The 25,496-nt window shown below is 39.3% G+C and overlaps 1 protein-coding gene across 31 annotated transcripts in view, besides 1 other annotated feature; it reads right to left on the bottom strand.

Moving 5' to 3' along the window:
* Positions 1-25,496, bottom strand: part of ESR1 (estrogen receptor 1) — a 472,948-nt gene that overhangs the window by 210,718 nt on the left and 236,734 nt on the right. The gene's annotated exons all lie outside the window — the stretch shown is intronic.
* Positions 17,272-18,471: an enhancer, noted in NCBI's record as "MED14-independent group 3 enhancer chr6:152221566-152222765 (GRCh37/hg19 assembly coordinates)". NCBI's record gives its function as "activates an origin of replication core promoter dependent on BRD2, BRD4, P300/CBP and CDK7 cofactors, and independent of MED14, by STARR-seq in HCT116 cells {active_cell/tissue: HCT116}" and the evidence as "EXISTENCE:reporter gene assay evidence [ECO:0000049][PMID:35650434]".

The following is a 25,496-nucleotide window of genomic DNA, read 5'->3' as shown; positions in this document are numbered from 1 at the left end:
CAGTCTTTCTGCATTAAATCCCTTGATCCAGTGGTATATCTTAATTTGCCTGTGACGTGATTTACAGCTTTATCCCTCCATCCCTTCCCTATATTGCCAAGCTTTATTTTCATTGTCTTATATAAGTTTGGAACAAATCTGTTAATAGTGAGAAGGAGGTTATACACATAGCACACGCAGGATTGGTTCATTAGTTCAGTTTTCTTAGAAGTTATTAATTGCCAACTTTTCCACCATGCTACTGTGACAACCACCAGTTAACTGAATTGTTGCAGATGCTGTTTACTAACTGCTTCTGTCCTTCCCTCTCATCCACTAGCATGTCTACCACCTTCTCAATAAACTAGCATATTTATGGGTAACCATAATACCTCATGATGTCATCTGCCAGCACCCAAATTCAAATACACTGGCAAGTTCTCATAACACTATAGTCCTTTGGGGTGATACACCATTGTGAACCAACTGCCCTTGATAAGTCTACTTAGGCACAGATGAGCAATGATTTCTCCTGGGGGTGCAAAGGGCACATTATCCCCTTTCCTCCTAAATTAGAACTCAATCATACCCTCTCTCATTGCTACACTTGCATGAGATTTAACCAGGGCCTACCAGGGTGGCAGATCTTGTTCCTCAAGCCCAATGTGGGTTCTCCTTCATCCCAGGCTCCAGAGTTAGGTTCCTACCTGCTGTGGCAAACTCAGCAATGAGGGAAGGGAGCAGCTGCAACAGCATGACTGAAGAAAACTCAATTCACATGCTGTCAGCCCTACCTGCTCATGTCTGCCCCATCACTGGGTATCTGCCCACAAGTTTACAACAGCCCAAGCCTCTGCCCTGCTGAGCTGGAATGGACTGACTGAAAAGCACTTGACAAACACAAACTGCTGAATAATCACAGGGATTCCCCTCTGCAATTAGCATGTGTTTATATTTACAATTCATTTTAAAATATGTTATTATTTTTCAAATTAATTCTTCTGCAAAGCAAATACGTAGGGAGCGTGCATCTTCATCTTTTTGCTCAATCATATTGGCAAATTATCATTTACTTTGATGACATTTGTTTCTAACTTAATTTTTAAAAGTTACTGCAACGTTCCTTTCCCAACTTGTTGCTCAACACTGTTTAGCCGAAGCAACCAAGGAGGCAGCCCTCATAGAAGAATGAATTGTTTTGAAATTTTCCGAGAAGTCCAGGCAGGGAGCATCAAGAATGGGAAATCAATCACAGGTTACCACACCTTTAACTGCATGTCAAATCATGCTAACTTATCCGAGCAACAGAAAACCAAGAGTCAAGGCCTAGATCAAGTAACTGGCAAGTAGCATCCACATGTGTTCTCCATGACACCCCTTATGACCTAAAACTATAATGTTCACTCTTAAAACTACTGTGTATTTTATTTTAATAAAAATTCTGCTAATAAAAACATTTCTAGAGACAGCCGTGGCAAGCTGTTCTATAAGAGTCTGATTTATTAATAACAAAATTTATGGGCTGAGAAGAAAGGGAATACATATTTTTCTTGCCTGGCTTCATTTCCCTGTAATATCTCAGTGATGAATCTCCTACTGGTTGGCATTCTGTAGCCAAGAGGAATAACTAAGACACCAAGGTTCAGCCTGTAAAGTTCTGTGTTCTCCCATTTCTTAGCAGTTTTGCAACTCAGGAACTGCAGTTTTCCTTCTCTAGCTTGTAAAATAAACAGTAGTCTCCCCACTTTGCCATGGATCTCTTCTTTGTCTCATGCTGATTGGTGTAGAGCTGAGTACAAACCAAGCCCCTGTTGTCTTTAATTTGGTCATGGAGGAGTCTTCCCAGGATTGCTTGAGTCACCAACATCCAATTACATTCTCTTGGACAAGAAGTGCCTGCCAGTGGGATAGTCATCATACAACAATTCTACAATTGGGTCACAAACAAGTTCATGCTCGCTGGAGATTTAATAAAGCCTCAAGCGGGTGCACATCATATTTCTCGAGACTTAAAAAGGGATATTCATTTTCATAAAGTCTCATTTGTGAACTCTGTCACCTTAAATATATTAGACATCTCTGACACAACCTAGAGTATCAAGGCCCAGAGTACCAAAGCCCAGTGCTGGGCAAATTATGGACTCAATAAATACTTGTTGCATGACAAACTTATGTCTTATCTAGTGGTTAATAGAAATCCCTGGGTTTAGCAAGCATGACTGTTTCCTAAAATATTGATCTGGGCAAGTCCTGGTATTAGAGGATGATAAAATTAAGAATTATGAAGAGCCTGAATCATCACAAAGTTTTACCACTCAAATTTTAATAGAGAGGTCATCGAAAGAAAATATCTCACTCTTCTCACTAATCTGCCAGAAGCAATTCTTTCTCACCATGCTTATTCCAAAGGAGGTACCTATTGCCCCAAGCAGAGAATTTCTCTCTGAAATATGCCACCTAAATTAAAAAATTTCTTAATAAGAACTGTGTCTAGGTCTCTGTATTTTCACTACTTAACTCTGTGTCTTGTCAGTAGATTAGCTTTTCTAAATAATAATCGATGAATGTTTCATGTATTGAATTGAACCAATGTCTTCAGAAAAGACAACATTCCACCAAGGACAGTAGTATTACCCCAGAGCCAGGCTCTCCTCTATAGAAATTCCACGTTCCTTTTCTCTGACTATATTTCAGCATTAGCAACTCCCCATTAAAACCAAACAAAGTAGCAGATCTATTATACTGTGATTTGTTCCTGAATATCAAATATCTCACCCCATCTGATTTGAATTCCATTATTCATTCTCACAAGATCTTATCCACTTTTCAGAAAAATTAATGCATCTCGATGCAGGCAGCGTGTCCACATCTGTTCATTTCACCAATTACCAACTGGATCCTTTGCTTACAATTGCCAAAGCTGAAATTGTATTGAAAATATCTCAAACAAGCTTGTTTATCAAATGTCAAATGCTAAATATATACTGCTCCAGAATATTTGTCCTTCAGTGGGAAAATACTTAGCAACCTGACATAACTACTGGTTTCCTATAGAGAGAGAGAGAGAGAGAGAGAAAGAGAGAAAGGAGCCTCCAGTCAAAATGCAAAGGCTGATGTCAGTGATATCAACAACAGGGTAGCAGAAAAAAATCCAAAATCAGCTGTCCAGTCTTAAATCCAGGTAAGATACATTTATAATATTTTCTTTAAATCTATAAAAACAGTTGAAGTCCTAGGTAACTCATCAGACAGACATGATTAATAGTCCAATGATAAGTAGAACATACTAAAGCTAGCTCCATTTCATCATTTGATTTTTCTGAAGTCCTAGTACTTTGTAAAGATAATTAAGTGGTTCCCTGGCCTTATATGTATTACACCTGTATCCATTTCTAGAAGTCATTCATTCTGTTCATGTTTAGTAGAAATCAGAAGACATGATAAAGTCAGAAGTCAGAAGTTATGGTAAGAATCAGAATGAAAAGATTGCGGCCCAAATAAGGGGGAAATGCTCCTGTTGCTATAATTTCAGAGAAAACATAGACCTTATTCATAGCTTACAAAATTGTAAATAATTAGTATTTTTCACAGAGACACATAGATGGAGAAATTAATAAGCAGAATTCCATGCATTCTTGGTAATGAAAGGGCTTTCCCAACAGCAGAAAGGGAGAATGCAGAGAAATTTCACCCCTCTTTTTTGTTTTTCATTTCACCTTTTTTTTTTTTGAGACGGAATCTCACTCTGTCGCCAGGCTGGAGTGCAATGGCATGATCTCGGCTCACTGCAACCTCCGACTCCCTGGTTCAAGCAATTTTCCTGCCTCAGCCTCCTGAGTAATAGACCTGTTTTATAACTGAATTAGAAATATTTTAAAAGCCAGAAACAATATTTAGTTGACATTTAATCAGATGGGATATTCAACCTAATGCTTTCTTTAAATTTGTTACCAAAATTTCCGTTGGTATAGGAAGTGAAAGGCAAGTTAACTATTCATGTAGTACATTTATCAAAAATGATCAAAACCTTCTTTTATTAAAATGGTTACAACTAGGTTACAGTGTACGTGTCCTGAACTCAAAAGTGTATACTTTTTAAAAGGACAAGAATTACCTTATGGAGTGCTTACGGTATTATGTACTATGGAGGACGCTTTATATGTCACAACACTGAAACATCTGAGATATTTACCCCCATTTTATAAACAAACAGCTCAGGGAGGTAACAATGACTCAACCCAAAAGCATGTCACTAGGGACTGACAAAAGATTAGCAAGGCAGCTAATCCCAATGTCCATACTCCTTTTTTCTGCTATACTTCCTCCAGTACTAGTATGATTTGTTAAATATCTAATAAAATGGTGATTTGCCTTGTGAGCTTGTTAACCCAGTATATGATATACGCAGATTCTCATTCTTATTATTTCTTGGTATTATATCCATTATAAGCTATTTTTCTTCAACTTCATTGCTTACAATGCAGTCACCTGAATATGATAGAAAATTCTCTCACATTATGTGATGATTTTTAAGTCATTCAGAAGTTATACATTCAGTATGATGAAGTAAGATGAAAAGTTTGGTTCAATCAATAAGCAGATGGGTTTTAAATATGGCAATATAAAGATGATAAAGTCAAAATAAGACCGAAGCCTTTTTTTTTTTAATGAAAAAGTAGACACAAGTACAAAGGATAATCTGAGAAGTCAAAGAAATTGTGAGCCCTGAATTGCAGAGAATAGAGCAGAGTAAAAAGTTCCTTACAGTAGACAGAAGAAAAAGAAGAAAATTGGCTCACAGAAAATGATGGGGGAATTGGAGACAGACATAAGGAAATGATAGTTATTTTTCCTATGATTTTAAATTGAAGGAATAGAACACAGAGATCCTGAAACTAAAGATTTTATTTTGCAAGGAGAAAGCACATCAAGACCACATACTGTAGAGGGAAGAAAAAATCTAAGTTCTGATGAAATGGACTGAATGAAAACAAGAATAATTTTTTAAAATTTCTAAAATGATACTTTGAAAATTATAAGATTATCACAAAAAGGAATCATTTTTTAACTAAGAAGCAGAGTGTTAAAAGAATTTTCTAGTAATTTGATGGTGCTTATAATTTTTAGCCCAGTACATTAAAAAAAAGATCTGATACATGTTATTCTTCTTCATTATATTTTTACAAAATCTGAAGTATCACACTGGGCAAGACTCAGAGTTCTTTGGAAGAAGGAAATTAAAACTGAAGATGTATGGACTAAAATGGGAAAAAAGATCATTTTGATAACCAAGTCCTATAGAATAAATTGTCCTAATTAATCTTCATAGGTATTGTAATAATCACAATTATGAAATACAATAACTGGCTTACCTGTCAAGGATATCAGTTAAATTGTCATTTTAATAATTCTTCCTTGCACCAGTGAATGTTACTATTCAAAATGGGGTGACATTTAACAGGACAAACTTGTTAAAAATAAAGTGTATGCATGTACAAAATCTTAATTATAATTACATAGTCATTTGTGATCATTTTCAATAGTTCTTGGCAAAGACAAATGAGCATAATGAGGTCCATTCACAGACCTGTGTGTTCTGTTTACGTGTGGGGGAGGAACCCAATACAAGTGTCCTAAAGAGCAGAAGGGCATGTGACGTGACAAAGTAGGTGGAGGTGAAAATCCGCACGTGGTGGGAGTAGAGGCCGAGGGTCATAAGGTTTCTAGTAATCTTAGAAAGTGATTTTCACCAAAAGTCAGTAAATACTCAACTGGTAAAATGGCTACTTTTCATTTATTTTATTTTATTTTATTATTTTTTATTTCTTTTTCATTTATTTTACTTTTAGTTCTGGGATATATGTGCAGAACGTGCAGGTTTGTTACATAGGTATACATGTGCCATGGTGGTTTGCTACACCTATCAACCCGTCATCTAGGTTTTAAGCCCCACATGCATTAGGTATTTGTCCTAATGCTCTCCCTCCCCTAGTCCCCCAACTCCCGACAGGCCCCGTTGTGTGATGCTCCACTCCCTGTGTCCATGTGTTCTCATTGTTCAACTCCCACTTATGAGTGCGAACATGAGGTGTTTGGTTTTCTGTTCCTGTGTTAGTTTGCTGAGAATGATGGCTTCTGGCTTCATCCATGTCCCTGCAAAGGACAGGAACTCATTCTGCTTTATGGCTGTCTTTTCACTTTTTAATAAGTGTAAAGAATATTAAGGTCGATATTCTCCCGCTCTTATTGTTCCTGATATCCTAAGACTCTTCCGTGGTGCCCTACTGAGATGTTTATACGGATGTATTATTAGAGCCTGAGATCTAGCCCTCTCTTGGATTTCACAAATATCATAGTACAAGGTAATTACTGACACCATATTTTCCTTTGGTGGGATTAGAAACCTTGAGGCTATTGTCACCAGCTGTTCACCTGTTCCATAAAACAATATGGATTGCAAAGGAGATAACCTCTATGATCAAATTGTTTTTAAATGGTCCCTGCACCAAAAAGAAGTTAGGGATTGAGTTAGATGCTGCTACAAACACTGTAATAAGGGAGACACGTGAAACAAAGGTAAGCTACGCAAATTAAAGCAGGCATAGTCCTTCACTTCAATTGACCAAAATCTGTTTCAACCGAATTTGAAAATTAAGAAATTCAAAAACTATGCTCCAAACATAATGTAAGATACAGCGCCTATCAGACACGCTGAATGCTTTGAAGTTTCTCTTATATTCTGCCTTCTCTCCTTCACCTCTCCATTTCAATGTTTCCAGTTGTTAGTACTATTATTCATCAGCACTCTCTGTGGTGATAGAAATGTTGTATAGTAGCACTGCCCAAAATGGTAGCCACCAACCACTTGTAGCTACTGAGCACTTGAATACAGAGAGTGCAACTGAGGTGTTGAACTTATAATACTATTTAATTTAAATTCATTTACATCTAAATGGCCACATGTGGCTAGTGGCTACCTACCGGACCGTGCAGTAGATTAATGTGCAACAATCAAGCAATATCCGACACTGCTTTGCAGAGCTCGAGGATAACAAACAGCAGCCATGTCCATGGTGCTCAATGCCGGGTGCATGTCAGAATCACCTGGGAGCTATGGGAACAGTTCTGATCACTGGGAACTTCCTGCATAGAGTCTCAGCTAACTGGTGTGGGGAAGGGCACTGGAAGTAAAATGGTCATTTCTAAAATCAGAACTATAAAGAAACTAAGTAAGGAAGAGGTTCCAAGGATCAGTCTTTCTGGCACTGTATTCATTTTACATCATGCAGGAAGGCAGCTGTGAGTGGGGAGGGAGGCCTCCCAGAGGCGAGTCAGAGCAGGTTACAAAATGAGACTGCCCAGTTTTGAAGCCTCTGATTGATTTGAGAGAATGTTCCAGGGAGCTGTAAAGATGCAGGGAAATGAACCATAGGAAAGACGTGGGGAGAAACAGGAAGACTCATTGAGAATAAAACAGAATTATAAAACTAGTAACAACTGAACCCATTAATATAGTTATTGAAAATACAGTAAAGAAAAGCCATGCAATAACCATAACTTCCCTATTATTATGTTATCAAAATATCTGAGACTAAAATGAACATTTAATCACATTGGTTAGCACGACGGATAGCCTTTTTGATAAAATATGCTACTGACCAGAGGGTTCCATACTTTCTAAGTTATACGTCTCTATTAGGAAAAAATATTTGAACAAACACTCTCAAGAAATGTACATATTTAATTACATTAATGCAGGACTCCCCAGCCCCCAGGCCACAGACTGGTACCAGTTCATGGCCTGTTAGGAACTGGGCCACACAGCAGGAGGTGAGCAGTGAGCGAGCATTACTGCCTGAGCCCCATTTCCTGTCAGATCAGCGGCAGCATTAGATTCTCATAGGTGCGCAAACCCTATATGTGAACTGCACCTGCTCAAGGCTGTGTGCTCCTTATGAGAACCTAATAATGCCTGATGATCTGAGGTGGGTCAGTTTCATCCTGAAACCATCCCCGCTGCAATCCATGGAAATACTGTCGTCCAGGAAACCAGTCCCTGGTGAGAAAAAGTTTGGGGACCGCTGCATTAATATATTTGTGTATTAATATATTATGTACATCGAAGGCATACAAACTGAAATATAATTTTCATAATGAGACTTTAAAAAGTAAGAGATTCTATTACTTTCTTCCTGCACTTTAATAGATTGCTTTACCAATGGCCTACTTTCAAAACTACTTTGAAAACAATGGCTATACAATTTGACAGGAATATTTAGAAATTGGCCCATTAACTACAGCTTGAGACAGATACTGATAAAATTTTCATCATCATTTTATAGAGGGACAAACTGTGGCACAATCCAAGTCTCCAAAATGAGTTCCTGGCTGTCACTGTGTTGAAACTCAACAATTACCTGAGCATTCATCATCACAACCAAATGAGTTTGCATTTTATAAGTTTAAAAAATGAGTGCTAGTTATGGTTGAATATATAGCAAAACTAAGAGTACAGGCCCATTTGGGCTTTGTCCTGCTCATATATTTATAATTGTTAATTTACATTGTTCCAATATAGGATTTGCTGCTACCACTTACTCTAGTATCTAGATCTGTTCGGTTCAATCCAGTAACCACCAGCCACATGTTGCTACTTAAATTTAAATTAAATTTAATTTAAATTGAATTAAAAATTTAGTTCCTCAGTCACACCAACAACATATCAAGTGCTCAATAGCCACCTGTGGCTAGTGGCTATCAAAATGGGTAGCCACAGAACACTTCCATCATTTCAGACAATTCTATCAGACAGTGTCACACTAGATACATAGTATATCCTTCTGGAACTATGTCAGAGATAAAAAGGGTGGTACTGCCAATTGAATGTAATCTCTGCCTAGTTTTTCAATAATGATAATTGGTTACAGCATCCCTTCTTTGGTCCTTCTGTCTCCACGCTCATAGATTCTTATGATTAGATTTGTTGGGGCCCCCCACCTACAGTTCAGTCCCTCCCTGACCCCAAGCCAGGTATGTCAACATTCCTAGCTTGGCGATCTGGTGAAGCTTATAATTCAGTCTGCCCAAAGACACAGAAGACTCTACTTCCACACCCAAGGCCTGGGCAGACAGCTGAGTGGTTCACTACACATCTACCACTCCTCACCTGCACCACTCTCTGATGGCTCAGTTGGCCAAGTTCCAGGGGTCATGCTTCTGCCCAAGCCTTCCTAGGTGCACCTCAGCCCTGAACCCAGTGGTGGCTGAGGGAACCTTTGATGACATTTACCCATGCTTCTTCCAGGAACAGACTCCACCTCCAGAGCTCTCACCTGATGGAAGGTGTCCCATCCTTTATAGTCAGACATCCTGACACCGGTTTATGCAGTCACTGCCATCTGAAGACTTTCCTGGTGTCAGAAGCTCATTCTTTGCTACATGTATTGAATACAGTGCCTTGGACTGACACCTACTTTCTGAAGCCAGTTCTGTTATTCTCATCCTCTGCTGTCCTGTGGCCTAAGGTGCTCTAGAGTCTCTCTACCCAGCCTCAGCAGATTCTCTTCCTTGGTCCCACAACCAGATTCAAGGTGGAGACTCCCCAAGTCATGGCCTAGTTCACTAAAACATCTCTACTCTTTTGCCTCGCTGTAAACGGCTAGCAGGCCATGGAAGCTGTGCCAAAGAACAGGGTTTTTCCCTTGAGCTTGACTGCCCTGTAATGGGATAGAAACCACGACCTTGGTGTTATTAGCAGCACGCTCTCACCAGCTAAGCTAACCGTCTCTAAGTTTCAGTGGAAGTTTAAGGTCACAGAGATTGGGTTGCCCTTTTCCATTTTATTCTCCAAAGATAGAGTGAATTACCTTGATTGCAGAAGTTGCCCAAATAAAAATATTTCAACTTTGAGATTTTTCAGAACAGTATGTACTTGTAGTGAATGTGGAGCAAGCCATCAGAGTAAGTTACCCTATGTCAGTTACAGAATCTCTCCAAAAACAAAACCTGATGGCAGTGGGACTCCTTGCTATGAAAAAAAAAAAAAATTGCTTTAAACATAAAATCATCAAATCTCTGCCAGTTGTGGCCTTAAGAAAACACATTCAAATAAAAGGATAGGGCACAAGTTTTTGTTTCAGAACAGTTTTTTTTTTCTCAATTGTTTAGAAAGATTTCATGATTCACAGAAACTCTGCTCCTTATTTGGCGCTGTCTCAGTTACCTTCAAAAGAAACTTTGATACAGGGATAGGAAAGTTAACTTATTTCTCTACTGCATCATGACATAACTTTTTAGGGAATGCACACCAATTATCCACGCTTCAGTTTTAAGCAACGAGTGAGAAGAGTATGCAGTTAGAGGCTTAGCTGTATTCTTGCTGTTTGCCTCAGTGGCTGCCTTCCATCACCAAAAAACACAAATGTAACCAACAGGCATATTAACACCCCAGAAACAAGTCATCTGCTATTGACATTTCAATATCATCATGATGACATTGAATGAACTCATTCAATGATATTTGTGAACTTGCCTAAAATAGAGCTAAGTATGAAATGGGGAATAAAATAATTAACTGTTGTGAAATTTATCAGCAAGATACAATAATGATAATACACACAGGTATTAAAAGATAGCCAGTCAATCTCACTCCTCAAAGACAGAAATAAACATTTAAAAAAAAGAATTTCCGTGAAGAAAGATTTCTAAAAATGAAAGAAATGAAGGAGAAATGTTATCCTACTAAACCTATATAAGAATATCAAAGTTTTTTATTTTATTCATAAACGATTCATGTACATTGTTAAAAACATAAGGGGAAAGGAAGAAAAAAAGAAGGAAATAAAAGTCATACATAATCCCCTTACCCAGGGCTAACCATTGTTAACCTTTTGTTACATACCCTTCCAGAATCACATATTCATTCATTTATTCACCCTCTTTGTTATTGCTCAGTATAAGCCTATATAACTTAAAATGCTTAAATACCATTTGTAATCACTTTCTTCATGATCTATTTCATGTCAATAAACACATTTCTATATATCACAGTTTGTGATGCTTGCAGAGTAATCTTTTTATATGATGTACCATGATTTCTGAACAAATCACCATTGGTTCCATTTTGACAATATATGGCGAAAGTCATGAAAAAGTACCTATCTTTTGGCCCAGTGAGATAATTACTGTGGCGTGCAAGGATTTAGCAAGAAAAGCTGTTCCCAGTCATGTTGAAAACTGTGAAGTTAGAAACAAAAACATACAATTCGGGAAATAATTAAATAAATTATAGTATGTCCATGCTGGAATATTAATGCAGCTCCTCTAATAATTTTGACTTGAAGGATCCCCAACAGCATGGGAAAATGTTGAATGAAGAGGCAGTATAATCCCAAATTTGTAAAACTTCAAAAAAAAAGACATACCTGAAACAATTTAATAATATAATTTTTAAAAAGATATGTCTTTAAAATATCAGTAAGATGAGACAGCTATGAGTAAATTTTAATATGTAAGATATTTTGGAGAAAATTGAAAAACTTTATTAGAAGTCATTCAAAAAGACCTAAAATAAATGGAGAGTTATATAATGTTAATGGGTAGGAAGACTAAATATCATGAAGATGTCAATCCTCCTCAGATTAATTTATAAGTTTAATGCAATCTCATTAAAGTTTGATTTAAAAACTCATTTGAAAGCAAAAGTAGCCATAAATAGCCAAAACAATTTTGAAGAAGAACAAAGTCCCTTTCAAGGATTATAAAGTCAAAGTAATTATAAAGACACAGAAATTAAATTGCTTTTAGTGTAGACATAGACAAATAAAGAAATAGTGAAGAGAGCTCAGAATCAGATTCTCTTCAACAGGACAACTTCATGCCTAATGGAGGTAGCTTCACAGATCAACAGGGAAAGAATGTATTGCTTAATTGCTCTGGGACAATTTGGTTATTCAATGGAAAAAAATTAAGTTATATTCCTACCTCACATAATAAACAAAATTCTCTTTCAGGTGAAATAAGTAACAAAATGTGAAAAAAAGCAAAGTTTTATTCCTTTTAACAGAATATAGACAAATAACTTTATAGCGTCCAGGGAAGGAAAGATTTATTAGACAGGTCTTAAAGCACAAACTATAAAGAAAAAATACGATAAATTCCACAACTTAAAATTTTCTGTGAAACAGATGATACCATAAAGCAAAGTCAAGCTGCATACTAGATGACATTTATAATACATAAAATAAATTAAAAGTTAGAATTCAGAATATATAAATATCTGTAAAAGATTAGTAAGAAGAGACTATCCAATGTTTCTGTGCATTTTTCTTGCCGGTATTTTGTTGCTATAGTATTTGGAAATAAAAATTCAGGCTGTTGTATATGTCTTATTAAGGGATCATTTTTCTAAACCCAGGCAACTATTTTTTAATAATTGTGTAGTTCATTTTCATTAAATATTAAAAATGTCTTAAGAATCCTAGATAAAATTCACTATCAACTTATTTTTAAGGGTAATTATGTATTTCTCATTTCCATTTCAAGACTCTAAACTGCTTTTTCTTAACTAGGTCAAAATTAACCTTAACTAACACACTTTTTTAAAAAAAGTCTTCTGTTTTAACACAAAATGTATACGTTTAATTTCCTGAATTGACTAAGTAAACTAATTTGTCATTTACAAGGTGGGGTGGAGATACAGTTGATTGTTAGAATTTATCCTTCTCTACCTGTCCTACTACTTCTGTGGGTGGCTTTTTAAATATCTCATAGTTCTTAATCTCTTATAATTTAAAAAATATGGTGTGTCTAATTTAGTAGTTTATTTTACTGTCCAGCATTAACTTTTTGTTAACCCATTTACGCCGAGGTTGCAATTTTTTGAATTTTTGCATGAGTGAAAACTCAGACCTTGGAGATGACCTTGAGCAATAGGATATAAATAACTCCCACATGCTTAGCGTTCCAATAATGGAACGCTAGGCATAAGTGGGTTTCATGTATTAATCTATTGCCCTTGAAATGTCTCACATCTGTCTTCAACCATTATTTCAGGCATGATTGTGGGACATGCCAGTGAAAACTGACTTAGGTTTTTACATGTTGAAATAGTATTTTTCGCTTTCAAACAGAAAAGGCTATCTTGCCTATAAACTATGCTTGTGATTCTCATGAAATCTTTCTTATATTTCTATATTTTTCCTTAAATTCTTATATGCCCAAATATGGAGAAATAAACTCTAAGAGCAGCTGAACATCTTACTTTAAACCAAAAGTTCCTTTTTTTAATCAAAAAATAGATTATATTAGCCTGTCTTTGAGGATTATGCCCTAAATCTCAAACTTTAGTTAGAGGAATATTTCCTTTTATTAAGTGGCTTCATTATACTTTCTTAAATGACCTCTTCTCTGAATTTAAATCGATTTTTTTCTATTGTTAGGTCTATCAGTTCTGCCTCAATTATCATCAGCTCTTCATGTAATTTAGAATCAACCAAGTTTTAACCCAAACATTTATTTGCAGTTGCACATGGTCCGGATATTGTATCCTCTTCTGGTGTGTTTACTGCCTCTCGCATTCTGAGACATTCTAAGCATAATGCAATACATCAGTAATCTACCACTTTCCTTTTGTCAGCCCATACCTCTTTTTGTCCTTTCTGTTTTTAAAAGGAGTTTCAGGTCACTCGCACCTCCTTCCTAGGTTGTTTCATTTCTGAGCAGTTGCTGAGTTTCCTCCACCAGCTCTGCCTTCTGCTGTTTGAGTTCTCTACTCTTTAATAAAACCTGGGTGGTTCATTGGAGTGTTTTTATTTTTTAAATATTCCCAATGTTTTAAAAATTTATCTCACTGGAGTTTGTGCTGCTGTTTGTTGTTTTGCTTTTGTTTCTGTTCTTAGTTCTTTGGCCTTGTATCAGACAACTCTCTAATTCTTTTAATTGGGTTTAAATCAAAGAAATCACCTAGTATTGTTGCTACTTTCCCATCGTCTCAGTGGGTGCAAGGGCAAGATGCAATCAGTGAATAACAACAAATATAGATGAGCACTTTCCTGGCCCATTACCAGTACTAAATGCCAAAAACCAACATCTTGGGAGTAAATGATACATCCACGTGAAACGAATCAATTCCACATGTTCAATATTGAATTTGGGGAAGGACTTAACTGAATAAATGGTGAACTACAGCCCTAGAGTAAACATAACAAGTTAATCCAAAATCGATTATTATTAAAATGCTTAGCACATTTTTAAATCTTTCATTTAATAAATTAAAACCATATTTATTGAGAGAGAAAGAATATGCATGAATGTGTTAAAAACCAAAATGAGCTATTATCTGCTTGCATAAAAGAATACCTGGAAAATTCATGATGGAACTGTCATATTACAACTAATAATTTATAGGGAATCCCCAAGTATGGCATAAAATGCATATTTTTGAATCCCCCACGAAACAAAATAATAAACATAAAAGTATAATCTAAAGAGAAAAACACAGTAAAGATGTTACACTGAGAACTTCCCAAGATAAATATCTATATAGCAGTGTCAGCTGCTAACAAAATTATTCATCTTACTTATGATAGTGTATACCACTAAAATATCTCAATAATAAGGGAATCTTACTTTGACTTAATTTTAGAAATGGCTTTACTACTCCCTAAAGGAGTGCACAGTTTTATTTATTTGTTATGATAGTTGTAATATTTGGTTTTATGCTTCAGATTACTAATAAATTTTCTACAGGTCTATGCACTATGCACAAACAAAAGTGAGAAAGTGACAGAGACAGCAAGAGAGATAATTATGATATTATGGTTGTGATATTACTTCAGTCATGCTTATGTGACCTGAATAATAGACTTATATCAAGGGAATAGTTTAGCCAAGCGCTGACATAAATCACCACTTCTCTTTTTTCCTTTATAATTTAAACTCACCACTAATAACAAATATTGACAAAAATACTGCTGTGCTAGGAATTAAATAGCAATGTGACTGTCTCTACCTCTAGAAATTAAAATTTTAATTGGACAGATAGGAGATAAATATATTTTTTTAATACTAAGTTGTCAGCTTGGCTCAACTTGATCTGGAACATGGAATATAATCCTATATCCCATTCAATTAAGCGATCAATAAACAAAGATACATCACATGCAGTGCCAAGCAGCCAGCTGGGCACTGGTGGGACAGCATAATCCAAGGGCCAGGGGCTCACCGGCAGGGGTGCTCTTCCCTGTGAGAGGTCAGACTGGCATGAGCCTCAATGAAGTATTGGGGTCAGAGCTGAGTGGCTGTCATATGCATGGATGATTAAGTCTAGCAATTAAAGAAAATAAGTGGTCAAGTAAAGGACTTAGAAGTCCAAAATGAAAGCCTAGTGTAGATGGGGTTCTGTGGCATGCCCAAGATCAGAACTGGAGGTGAGGTAGAGGGCAGAGGCCAAAGTATATGTTCAAACCAGAATGAGGTCAAGCAGTGTTTAGAACCAAAAGCTGTCACTTGTTGATGGAAACGGCTCTCTCACAGTTGCAAATCACTACACACCAGCGCATCCAAGTTGCCCTCAAGCTGGCAGGGTACAAAGAGCTCAGTACCTGGATTAACACAGGAGCTGAGACAGCAGCTCACCTAACTTTCTGATTAGACACAGAGACAGAATATGATAGCAATTCAGAAGGAAAACATGATGACTTCCAGGGAATTCTAAATGAGCTAAAGAGAAAGGCATTAGTAAATGGGGAAAGTCACTACTAATAAAAAAAATTACTAAAAATGAACTTCAGATTGAAGGGAGGCATACGGGACAAAATACATTCTGTCGTCAATGAACAGAACAGTTTCCTGGAGCCAAAGGCTTGCTAGGAAAGTGGGAGACAATGCCTGAAAAAACAGGTGTAATTCGGAAGGTGGAGGACTTTGAATGCCAGGATTAGAGGGAGGCTAACTTGTAGGTTCCTCAGGGCAAGGTACTGCATTTTATGTATCACTAATTATCCAAAGGGAACCAAAGTAATTAATTACTTAAGAATTATAGTTTCCTTATAATGATGACAGTATACTAAAACTGGCATTTTATTTAGAGATTAGATTAAATCCTTGTGGGAAAAATTGAACGTACTTTTCATTACCCATTGTAACCAATTTATATGAAGGGCTCACCATAAGCCAAATACAATAGAAGCTTTACATGCCTCCTTATACATACTTACTAAGTTAGTATTATTATTGTCGTTATTTGACAAACAAAGAGACAAAGGTCTGAAGAGGTTACGTATCTTGTTCAAGGTTACACACCTATCAACAGAGCTAAAATTTGAATGCAAGTAGTCTGATTCCAACAGCTAAGACTTAAACCACAATGCTACATAATACATGAATGATATCTGACATCTATACATCAATTTGTGATTATCAAAATAGAGTTCATGTCTTTGAGTCTCAGAATAGCTTTATGGGGTAGTTGGTGTTTTCACATAGTTATGTTTTCTATGAGACTGGAACCACAAAGAGAGAGAAACAGATCTAGGATGGGTACGACTTTAACTTGACAATAGAATATACCTCCAAGAACATGAGCCAAAAGGGCCAGAAACCTTGAGCTTCCTTGATCCCTGAGAGCAAGATCAAAACTGGTGGGTGAGGTGATACAGCAGGAATTTTTAGGCCAACTCCAGTCCTAGGTCCCTTGAGGAATGGAGGAAGTTTGGTCCTATTTTTTGTGAATGACCTCTTTTCACTTTTAGGTTGCCTGGATGTTGTGGTCAGTGATCACATCTTAAATCCCCTGTGTCAACAACACCTTCATGTAGTAAATGCTCAGTAAAGGTTATCTGTAAATGATTTAGGCCAAGAAGTTTGGATTTGGCTTGGCATTTGTTATGTAAAATTTTCAAAATAAAACTGCCAAAACTTCAAACATAAAATAAATGTAATACGTCAAGGCCAAAAAATGGTGGAAAGGAGGCAGGACTAGATTGCAGCTCTCACTTGGATGAACAGAGCAGTGTGTGGAAACTCACACCATAAACTTCTGCTCCAGAACTACTACAGGAATATACCAGGAAAGCCAAGAGAATCCACAGACCCTGTGAAGGAAGCAGTTTGCTCCTACAGGACCCAGGAGACACCCCAAATACTGTGAGTGCCCAAGCTGTGAAAGTAGGAAAGGGGGATAGCCCACCCCCGAACACACACCCTCACTGGGGAATCTGCAGCTCCAGATCATGGGAGAAGGATATGAACTTACCTGGAGCTGATTTAATTAGACAGCTGAGTGAAATAAAGGGTAGAGAAAGCAAGGGGAAAAGCCCTGTGGGCTCTCTGGGTCCCCTAATAAGCCATTTCTACCTTGTCTCACAGGGGTCCTTGGGGAGGGTGGCCAGAGGAACTGGGAAAAGACCACAGCGAGAAGGAAACCTCCAGCTGAACTTTGTAACAATTCCAACCAAACATGAAGTCACCTGGCCAGAACTTGGGGGAGGGAGTGAATTTGGTGTACAGATTCAACAGGAAGGGAGGCATGAAAGCCCTACTTACATTCTTTGCTGGGAGGCTGGTAGCCTGCGGCAAGTTCTTAGCCTTGCTCATCCGCTGCCTGCAAACAAACTTGATGCTGTTGGTAGGGCACAGGAGTGAGACCGGTTTTGGGGGTTGCAAGGGAGCTGGGTGAGGCCTGTAACTGCCGGCTTTCCCCCACATTCCTGACAGCCTGCATGACGCAGCAGAGGCAGCCATAATCCTCTGGGAACATAACTCCATTGACCTGGGAACCTCACCCCCCTGCCCCACAGCACAGCCTCAGCAAGACTCACCCGAGGAGAGTCTGAGCTCAGACAGTCCTAGCCTTGCCCCACCTGATGGTCATTCCCTATCCATCCTGGTAGCTGAAGGCAAAGGTCATATACTCTTGGGAGTTCTAAGGCCCTGGCCACTGCCTGATCCTCCCTATACTACCACAGCTGACGCTGTCTTGAAAGTGCCACCTCCTGGCAGGAGGCCAACCAGCACAAAAATAGTGCATTAAACAACAAAAGCTAAGGACCCCTGCAGAGTCCATTTCACTCCCCTGCCACCTCTATCAGAGCAGGTGCTGGAATCCAACGCTGTGAGACCTGAAAACAGCCCATAGCACAGGACTCTGAGCAGACAGCCCCCAGTACTAGCCTGGAGCCTGGTAGCCCTGCTGAATGGCTAGATCCAGAAGAGAAATAACAGTCACTACAGGTCGGTTCCCAGGAAGCCACATCTCTAAGAAAAGGGGGAGAGTACTACATCAAGAAAACAACCTGTGGGACAAAAGAATCTGAACAGCAGCCTTGAGCCCTAGTACTTCCCTCAGACATAGCCTACCAAATGAGAAGGAACCAGAAAAACAATCCCAGTAATACGACAAAACAAGGTTCTTTAATACCCCTCAAAAAATCACACTAGCTCACCAGCAATGGATCCAAGCCAAGAAGAAATCCCTGAGTCACCTGAAAAAGAATTCAGAAGGTCGATTGTTAAGCTAATTAAGGAGGCACCAGAGAAAGGTGAAGTCCAATTTAAGGAAGTCAAAAAAATGATACAAGAAATGAGGGGAGAAATCTTCAGTGAAATAGTTAGTATAAATAAAAAACAATCACAACTTCAGGAAATGAAGGACACACTTAGAGAAATGCAAAATGTTCTTGAAAGTCTCAGCAATAGAATAAAACAAGCATAAGAAAGAACTTCAGAGCTCAAAGACAAGGTTTTCAAATTAACTCAATCCAACAAAGACAAAGAAAAAAGAATTTAAAAAATGAACAAAACCGCACTCAGTGCTCAATGGTGCCCAGGCTGGAGTGCAGTGGCGTGATCTCAGCTCGCTACAACCTCCACCTCCCAGCAGCCTGCCTTGGCCTCCCAAAGTGCCGAGATTGCAGCCTCTGCCCGGGGCCACCCCGTCTGGGAAGTGAGGAGCGTCTCTGCCTGGCCGCCATCGTCTGGGATGTGAGGAGCCCCTCTGCCTGGCTGCCCAGTCTGGAAAGTGAGGAGTGTCTCTGCCCAGCCGCCATCCCATCTAGGAAGTGAGGAGCGCCTCTTCCCGGCCGCCATCCCATCTAGGAAGTGAGGAGCGTCTCTGCCCTGCCGCCCATCGTCTGAGATGTGGGGAGCGCCTCTGCCCTGCCGCCCCGTCTGGGATGTGAGGAGCGTCTCTGCCGGGCCGCCCCGTCTGAGAAGTGAGGAGACCCTCTGCCTGGCAACCGCCCTGTCTGAGAAGTGAGGAGCCCCTCAGCCCGGCAGCCACCCCGTCTGGGAAGTGAGGAGCGTCTCCGCCCGGCAGCCACCCCGTCCGGGAGGGAGGTGGGGGGGTCAGCTCCCCGCCCGGCCAGCCGCCCCGTCCGGGAGGGAGGTGGGGGGGTCAGCCCCCCGCCCGGCCAGCCGCCCCGTCCGGGAGGGAGGTGGGGGGGTCAGCCCCCCGCCTGGCCAGCTGCCCAGTCCGGGAGGTGAGGGGCGCCTCTGCCCAGCCGCCCCTACTGGGAAGTGAGGAGCCCCTCTGCCCGGCCAGCCGCCCCGTCCGGGAAGGAGGTGGGGGGGTCAGCCCCCCGCCTGGCCAGCCGCCCCGTCCGGGAGGGAGGTGGGGGGGTCAGCCCCCCGCCCGGCCAGCCGCCCCGTCCGGGAGGGAGGTGGGGGTTCAGCCCCCCGCCTGGCCAGCTGCCCAGTCCGGGAGGTGAGGGGCGCCTCTGCCCAGCTGCCCCTACTGGGAAGTGAGGAGCCCCTCTGCCCGGCCAGCCGCCCCGTCCGGGAGGGAGGCGGGGGGGTCAGCCCCCCGCCCGGCCAGCCGCCCCGTCCGGGAGGGAGGTGGGGGGGTCAGCCCCCCACCCGGCCAGCCGCCCCGTCCGGGAGGGAGGTGGGGGTTCAGCCCCCCGCCCGGCCAGCCGCCCCGTCCGGGAGGTGAGGGGCGCCTCTGCCCGGCCGCCCCTACTGGGAAGTGAGGAGCCGCTCTGCCCGGCCACCACCCCGTCTGGGAGGTGTGCCCAACAGCTCATTGAGAACGGGCCATGATGACAATGGCAGTTTTGTGGAATAGAAAGGGGGGAAAGGTGGGGAAAAGATTGAGAAATCGGATGGTTGCCGTGTCTGTGTAGAAAGAGGTAGACGTGGGAGACTTTTCATTTTGTTCTGTACTAAGAAAAATTCTTCTGCCTTGGGATCCTGTTGATCTGTGACCTTACCCCCAACCCTGTGCTCTCTGAAACATGTGGTGTATCCACTCAGGGTTGAATGGATTAAGGGCGGTGCAAGATGTGCTTTGTTAAACAGATGCTTGAAGGCAGCATGCTCGTTAAGAGTCATCACCACTCCCTAATCTCAAGTACCCAGGGACACAAAAACTGCAGAAGGCCGCAGGGTCCTCTGCCTAGGAAAACCAGAGACCTTTGTGCACTTGTTTATCTGCTGACCTTCCCTCCACTATTGTCCTGTGATCCTGCCAAATCCCCCTCTGCGAGAAACACCCAAGAATGATCAATTAAAAAAAAAAAAGAAAAGAAAAAAAAAAAAAAATGAACAAAACCTCCAAGAAGTTTGGGACAGAATTAAACAACCAAACCTAAGAATAATTGGTGTTCCTGAGAAAGAAGAGAAATCTAAAAGTTTGGAAAACATATCTGGGGGGATAATTGAGGAAAACTTCCTTAGCCTTATTAGAGACCTAGACATCCAAATACAAGAAGCTCAAATAACACCTGAAAAATTCATCACAAAAAGATCATTGCCTAGGCACATTGTCATAAGGTTATCTAAAGTTAAGATAAGAAAAATAATCTTAAGAGCTGTGAGGCAAAAGCACCAGGTAACCTATAAAGGAAAACCCATCAAGTTAACAGATTTCTCAGCAGAAACCCTATAAACTAGAAGGGATTGGGGCCCTATCTTCAGCTTCTTTAAAGAAAACAATTAGCAGCCAAGAATTTTGTATCCAGCAAAACTAAGCTTCTTAAATGAAGGACAGATACAGTCTTTTTCAGATAAAAACAACGCTAAGAGAATTCGCCACTACCAAGCCAGCACTACATGACTACACGAACTGCTAAAAGGAGCTCCAAATCTTGAAACAAATGCTGGAAACACATCAAAACAGAACCTCCTTAATGTGTAAATCTCATTGGAGGTATAAAACAAAAATACTACTAAAAAAAATCCAAGGTATACAGGCAACAAATGGCATGATGAACAGAATAGTACCTCACATCTCAATACTAACATTGAATTTAAATAGCCTAAATGCTCCACTTAAAAGATACAGAATTGCAGAATGGATAAGCAATCACCAACCAAGTATCTGCTGCCTTCAAGAAACTCACCTAACACATAAGGACTCACATAAACTTAAGGTAAGGGTGTGGAAAAAGACATTCCATGCAAATGGACACCAAAAGCAAGTAGGAGTAGCTATTCTTATATCAGACAAAACAAACTTTAAAACAACAGCAGTTAAAAAAGACAAAGAAGAGCATTATATAATGATAAAAGGCCTTGTCCAAAAGGAAAATACCATAATCCTAAATATATATGCACCTAACACTGGAACTCCCAAATGTATAGAACAATTACTACTACACCTAAGTAATGAGACAGACAGCAATACAATAATAGTGGGGGACTTCAATACTCCACTGACAATACTAGACAGGTCATCAAGACAGAAAGTCAACAAAGAAACAATGGATTTAAATTGTACCCTGGAACAAATGGACTTAACAGATCTTTACATAACATTCTACCCAACAACCACAGAATATACATTCTATTCATCAGCGTATGCAACTTTCTCTAGGATAGACCATATGATATGCCACAAACAAGTGTCAAAAAAACTAAGAAAATTAAAACTATGTCAACTACTCTCTCAGTCCACAGTGGAATAAAACTGGAAATCGACTCCAAAAGGAACCTTCCAAAACATGCAAATACATGGAAGTGAAATAACCTGCTCCTGAATGATCATTGGGTCAACAATGAAATCAAGATGAAAATTTTAAAATTCTTCGAATTGAACAATAATAGTGACACAACCATCCAAACCTCTGGGATACAGCAAAAGCAATGCGAAGAGGAAAGTTCACAGCCTTAAATGCCTACTCAAAAACTCTGAAAGAGCACAAATAGACAATCTAAGGTCACAAATCAAGGAACTACAGAAATAAAAACAAACGAAACCCAAAGCCAGCAGAAGAAAGAAAATACCAAGATCAGAGCAGAGCTAAAGGAAATTGAAAAAAAAATACAAAAGATAAATGAAACAAAAAGAAGCTGGTTATTTGAAAAGATAAATGAAATTGATAGACCATTAGCAAGATTAACCAAGAAAAGAAGAGAGAAGGTCCAAATAAGCTCAATTAGAAACAAACAGGAGATATTACAACCAACCCCACAGAAATACAAAAGATCATTCAAGGCTACTATGAACACCTTTACACACATAAACTAGAAAACCTAGAAGAGATAGGTAAATTCCTGGAAAGATACAAACCTCCTAGCTTAAGTCAGGAAGAATTAGAAATCCTGAACAGGCCAATAACAAGCAGCAAGATTGAAATGGTAATTTAAAAATTACCAACAACACAAAAAGTCCAGGACCAGATGAATTCACAGCTGAATTCTACCAGACACTCAAAGAAGAATTGGTACCAATCCTATTGACACTATTCCACAAGATGAAGAAAGAGGGAATCCTCCCTAAATCATTCGATGAAGCCAGTATCACCCTTGTACCAAAACCAAGAAAGAACAAAACAAAAAAAGAAACCTACAGGCCAATATTCCTAATGAACATAGATGCAAAAATCTGGCCGGGCGCTGTGGCTCACGCCTGTAATCCCAACACTTTGAGAGTCCTTTGAGAGGCCAAGGCAGGTGGATCACGAGGTCAGGAGTTCAAGACCCGCCTGGCCAACATAGCGAAACCCTATCTCTACTAAAAATACAAAAATTAGCTGGGTGTGGTGGCAGGTGCCTGTAATCCTAGCGACTCAGGGAGCTGAGGCAGGAGAATCGCTGGAAACCAGAAAGTGGAAGTTGCAGTGCCACTACACTCCAGCCTGGGCAACAAGAGCAAAACTCCATCTCAAAAAAATATCCTTAACGAAATACTAGCTAACCAAATCAAACAGCATATCAAAAAGATAATCCACAATGATCAAGTGGGTTTCATACCAGGGATGCAGGGATGGTTTAACATATGCAAGTCAATAAATGTGACACACCACCTGAACAAAATTAAAAACAAAAATCGCATGACCATCGCAATAATCGCAATAGATACAGAAAAAGCATTTGACAAAATCCAGCATCCCTTTATGATTAAAACCTTCAGCAAAATCGGTATACAAGGTACCTCACTGTAATAAAAGGCATCTATGATAAACCCACAGCCAACATAATACTGAATGGGGAAAAGTTGAAAGCATTTCCTCTGAGAACTGGAACAAAACAAAGATGCCCACTCTCACTATTCAACACAGTACCAGAAGTCCTAGCCGGAGCAGACAAGAGAAAGAAATAAAGGACATCCAAATTAGTAAAGAGGAATTCAAACTGTCGCTGTTTGCTGATGATATGATTTTATAACTAGAAAACCCTAAAGACTCCCCCAAAAAGCTCCTAGAACTGATTAATGAATTCAGCAGAGTTTCAGGATACAAAATTAATGTACACAAATCAGTAGCTCTGCTATACACCAACAGCAGCAACCAAGGTGAGAATCAAATCAAGAACTCACTCCTTTTCACAATAGTTGCAAAAAAAAAAAAAAACCAAAAAAAACAAAAACTAACCAAGAAGGTGAAGGACCTCTACAAAGAAAACTACAAAACACCTCTCAAAGAAATAAATCATAGATGACACAAACAAATGGAAACACATCTCATGCTCATGGATGAGTAGAATCAATATTGTGAAAATGATCATACTGCCAAAAGCAATCTACAACTTCAATGCAATTCCCATCAAAATACCACCATCATTCTTCACAGAACTAGAAAAAAAATCCTAAAATTAATATGGAACCAAAAAAGAGCCCACATAGCCAAAGTAAGACTAAGCAAAAAGAACAAATCTGGAGGCATCACATTACCTGATTTCAAACTATACTATAAGGCCATAGTCACCGAAACAGCATGGTACTGGTATAAAAATAGGCATGTAGACCAAAGGAACAGAGTAGAGAACCGAGAAATAAACCCAAATACTTACAGCCAACTGCTCTTTGCCAAAGCCAACAAAAACATAAAGTGGGGAAAGGACACCCTATTCAACAAATGGTACTGGGATAATTGCCAAACCACATGTAGGAGAATGCAACTGGATCTTCATCTCTCACTTTACACAAAAATCAACTCAAGATGGATCAAGGACTTAAATCTAAGACCTGGAACCATAAAATTCTAGAAGTTAACGTCAGAAAAACCCTTCTAGACATGGGCTTAGGCAAGGATTTTATGACCAAAAACCCAAAAGCAAATGCAACAAAAACAAAGATAAATAAGTGGGACTTAGTTAAACTAAAGAGCTTTTGCACAAAAGGAGCAGCAGCAGAGTAAACAAACAACCCACAGAGAAGGAGACATAATCTATACATCTAACAAAGGATTAAGATCCAGAATCTACAAGGAACTCAAACAAATTAGCAAGAAAAAAAACAAACAATCCCATCAAAAAGTGGGCTAAGGACATGAATAGACAGTTCTCAAAAGAAGATACAAAGTGGCCAACAAACATATGAAAAAATACTCAACATCACCAAAGATCAGGGAAATGCAACTCAAAACCACAATGCAATACCACCTTACTCCCACAAGAATGGCCATTTTCAAAAAATCAAAAAATAATAGACGTTGGTGTGGATGTAGTGAAAAGCGAACATTTCTATACTGCTGGTGGGAATGTAAACTAGTACAACTACTATGGAAAACAATGTGGAGCCACCTTCTTGCTTGATCCCTCACTCCTAAATCTCTCTCCTCTAATCTATGAGAACACCAGGATAGGTTCAAAATTAAGAAAGTCACTTCTCTGCTTAAGATCCTTTATGGTTCCCATATCCCTCAGGGATCTCAAACTCCTGGTTTGACAGATAAAGACTTCTATGTTGGTACTGCAGCCCAGCCTCAGCTCCAGCAGCCTCCTTAAGCACAGATCACATGGTCAAATGAGCACTAAAATCTGGCTGGTCCAAAATAAGATGTAAGTGTGAAACACTTGGAGGATTTGGAAGTCTTAGTGAAGGAAAAAAACATACATAATGTATCAATAATTTTTAAATGTTGATTCTGTATTGAAATACTATTTGGGGTATATTAGTTAAATAAAATATATCACAAAACTTAAAAAAGTAATAATGATTAGTCTTGTAAAGCAAGCGTTTAAAAATATAATCACCTAAAATATAAAAAATATAAATTTTATATATAAAATATAAAAAATATAATCACCTAAATATAATTCTGTATGTTCCTCACCAATTTTTATTTGCTGAATCAAGC

Source organism: Homo sapiens, chromosome 6 (genome assembly GCF_000001405.40).
Source record: "Homo sapiens chromosome 6, GRCh38.p14 Primary Assembly".
Taxonomy (NCBI): Eukaryota; Metazoa; Chordata; class Mammalia; order Primates; family Hominidae; genus Homo; species Homo sapiens.
Note: the sequence above shows the minus strand (reverse complement) of the source record. Positions and strands in the feature narration are given on the sequence as shown.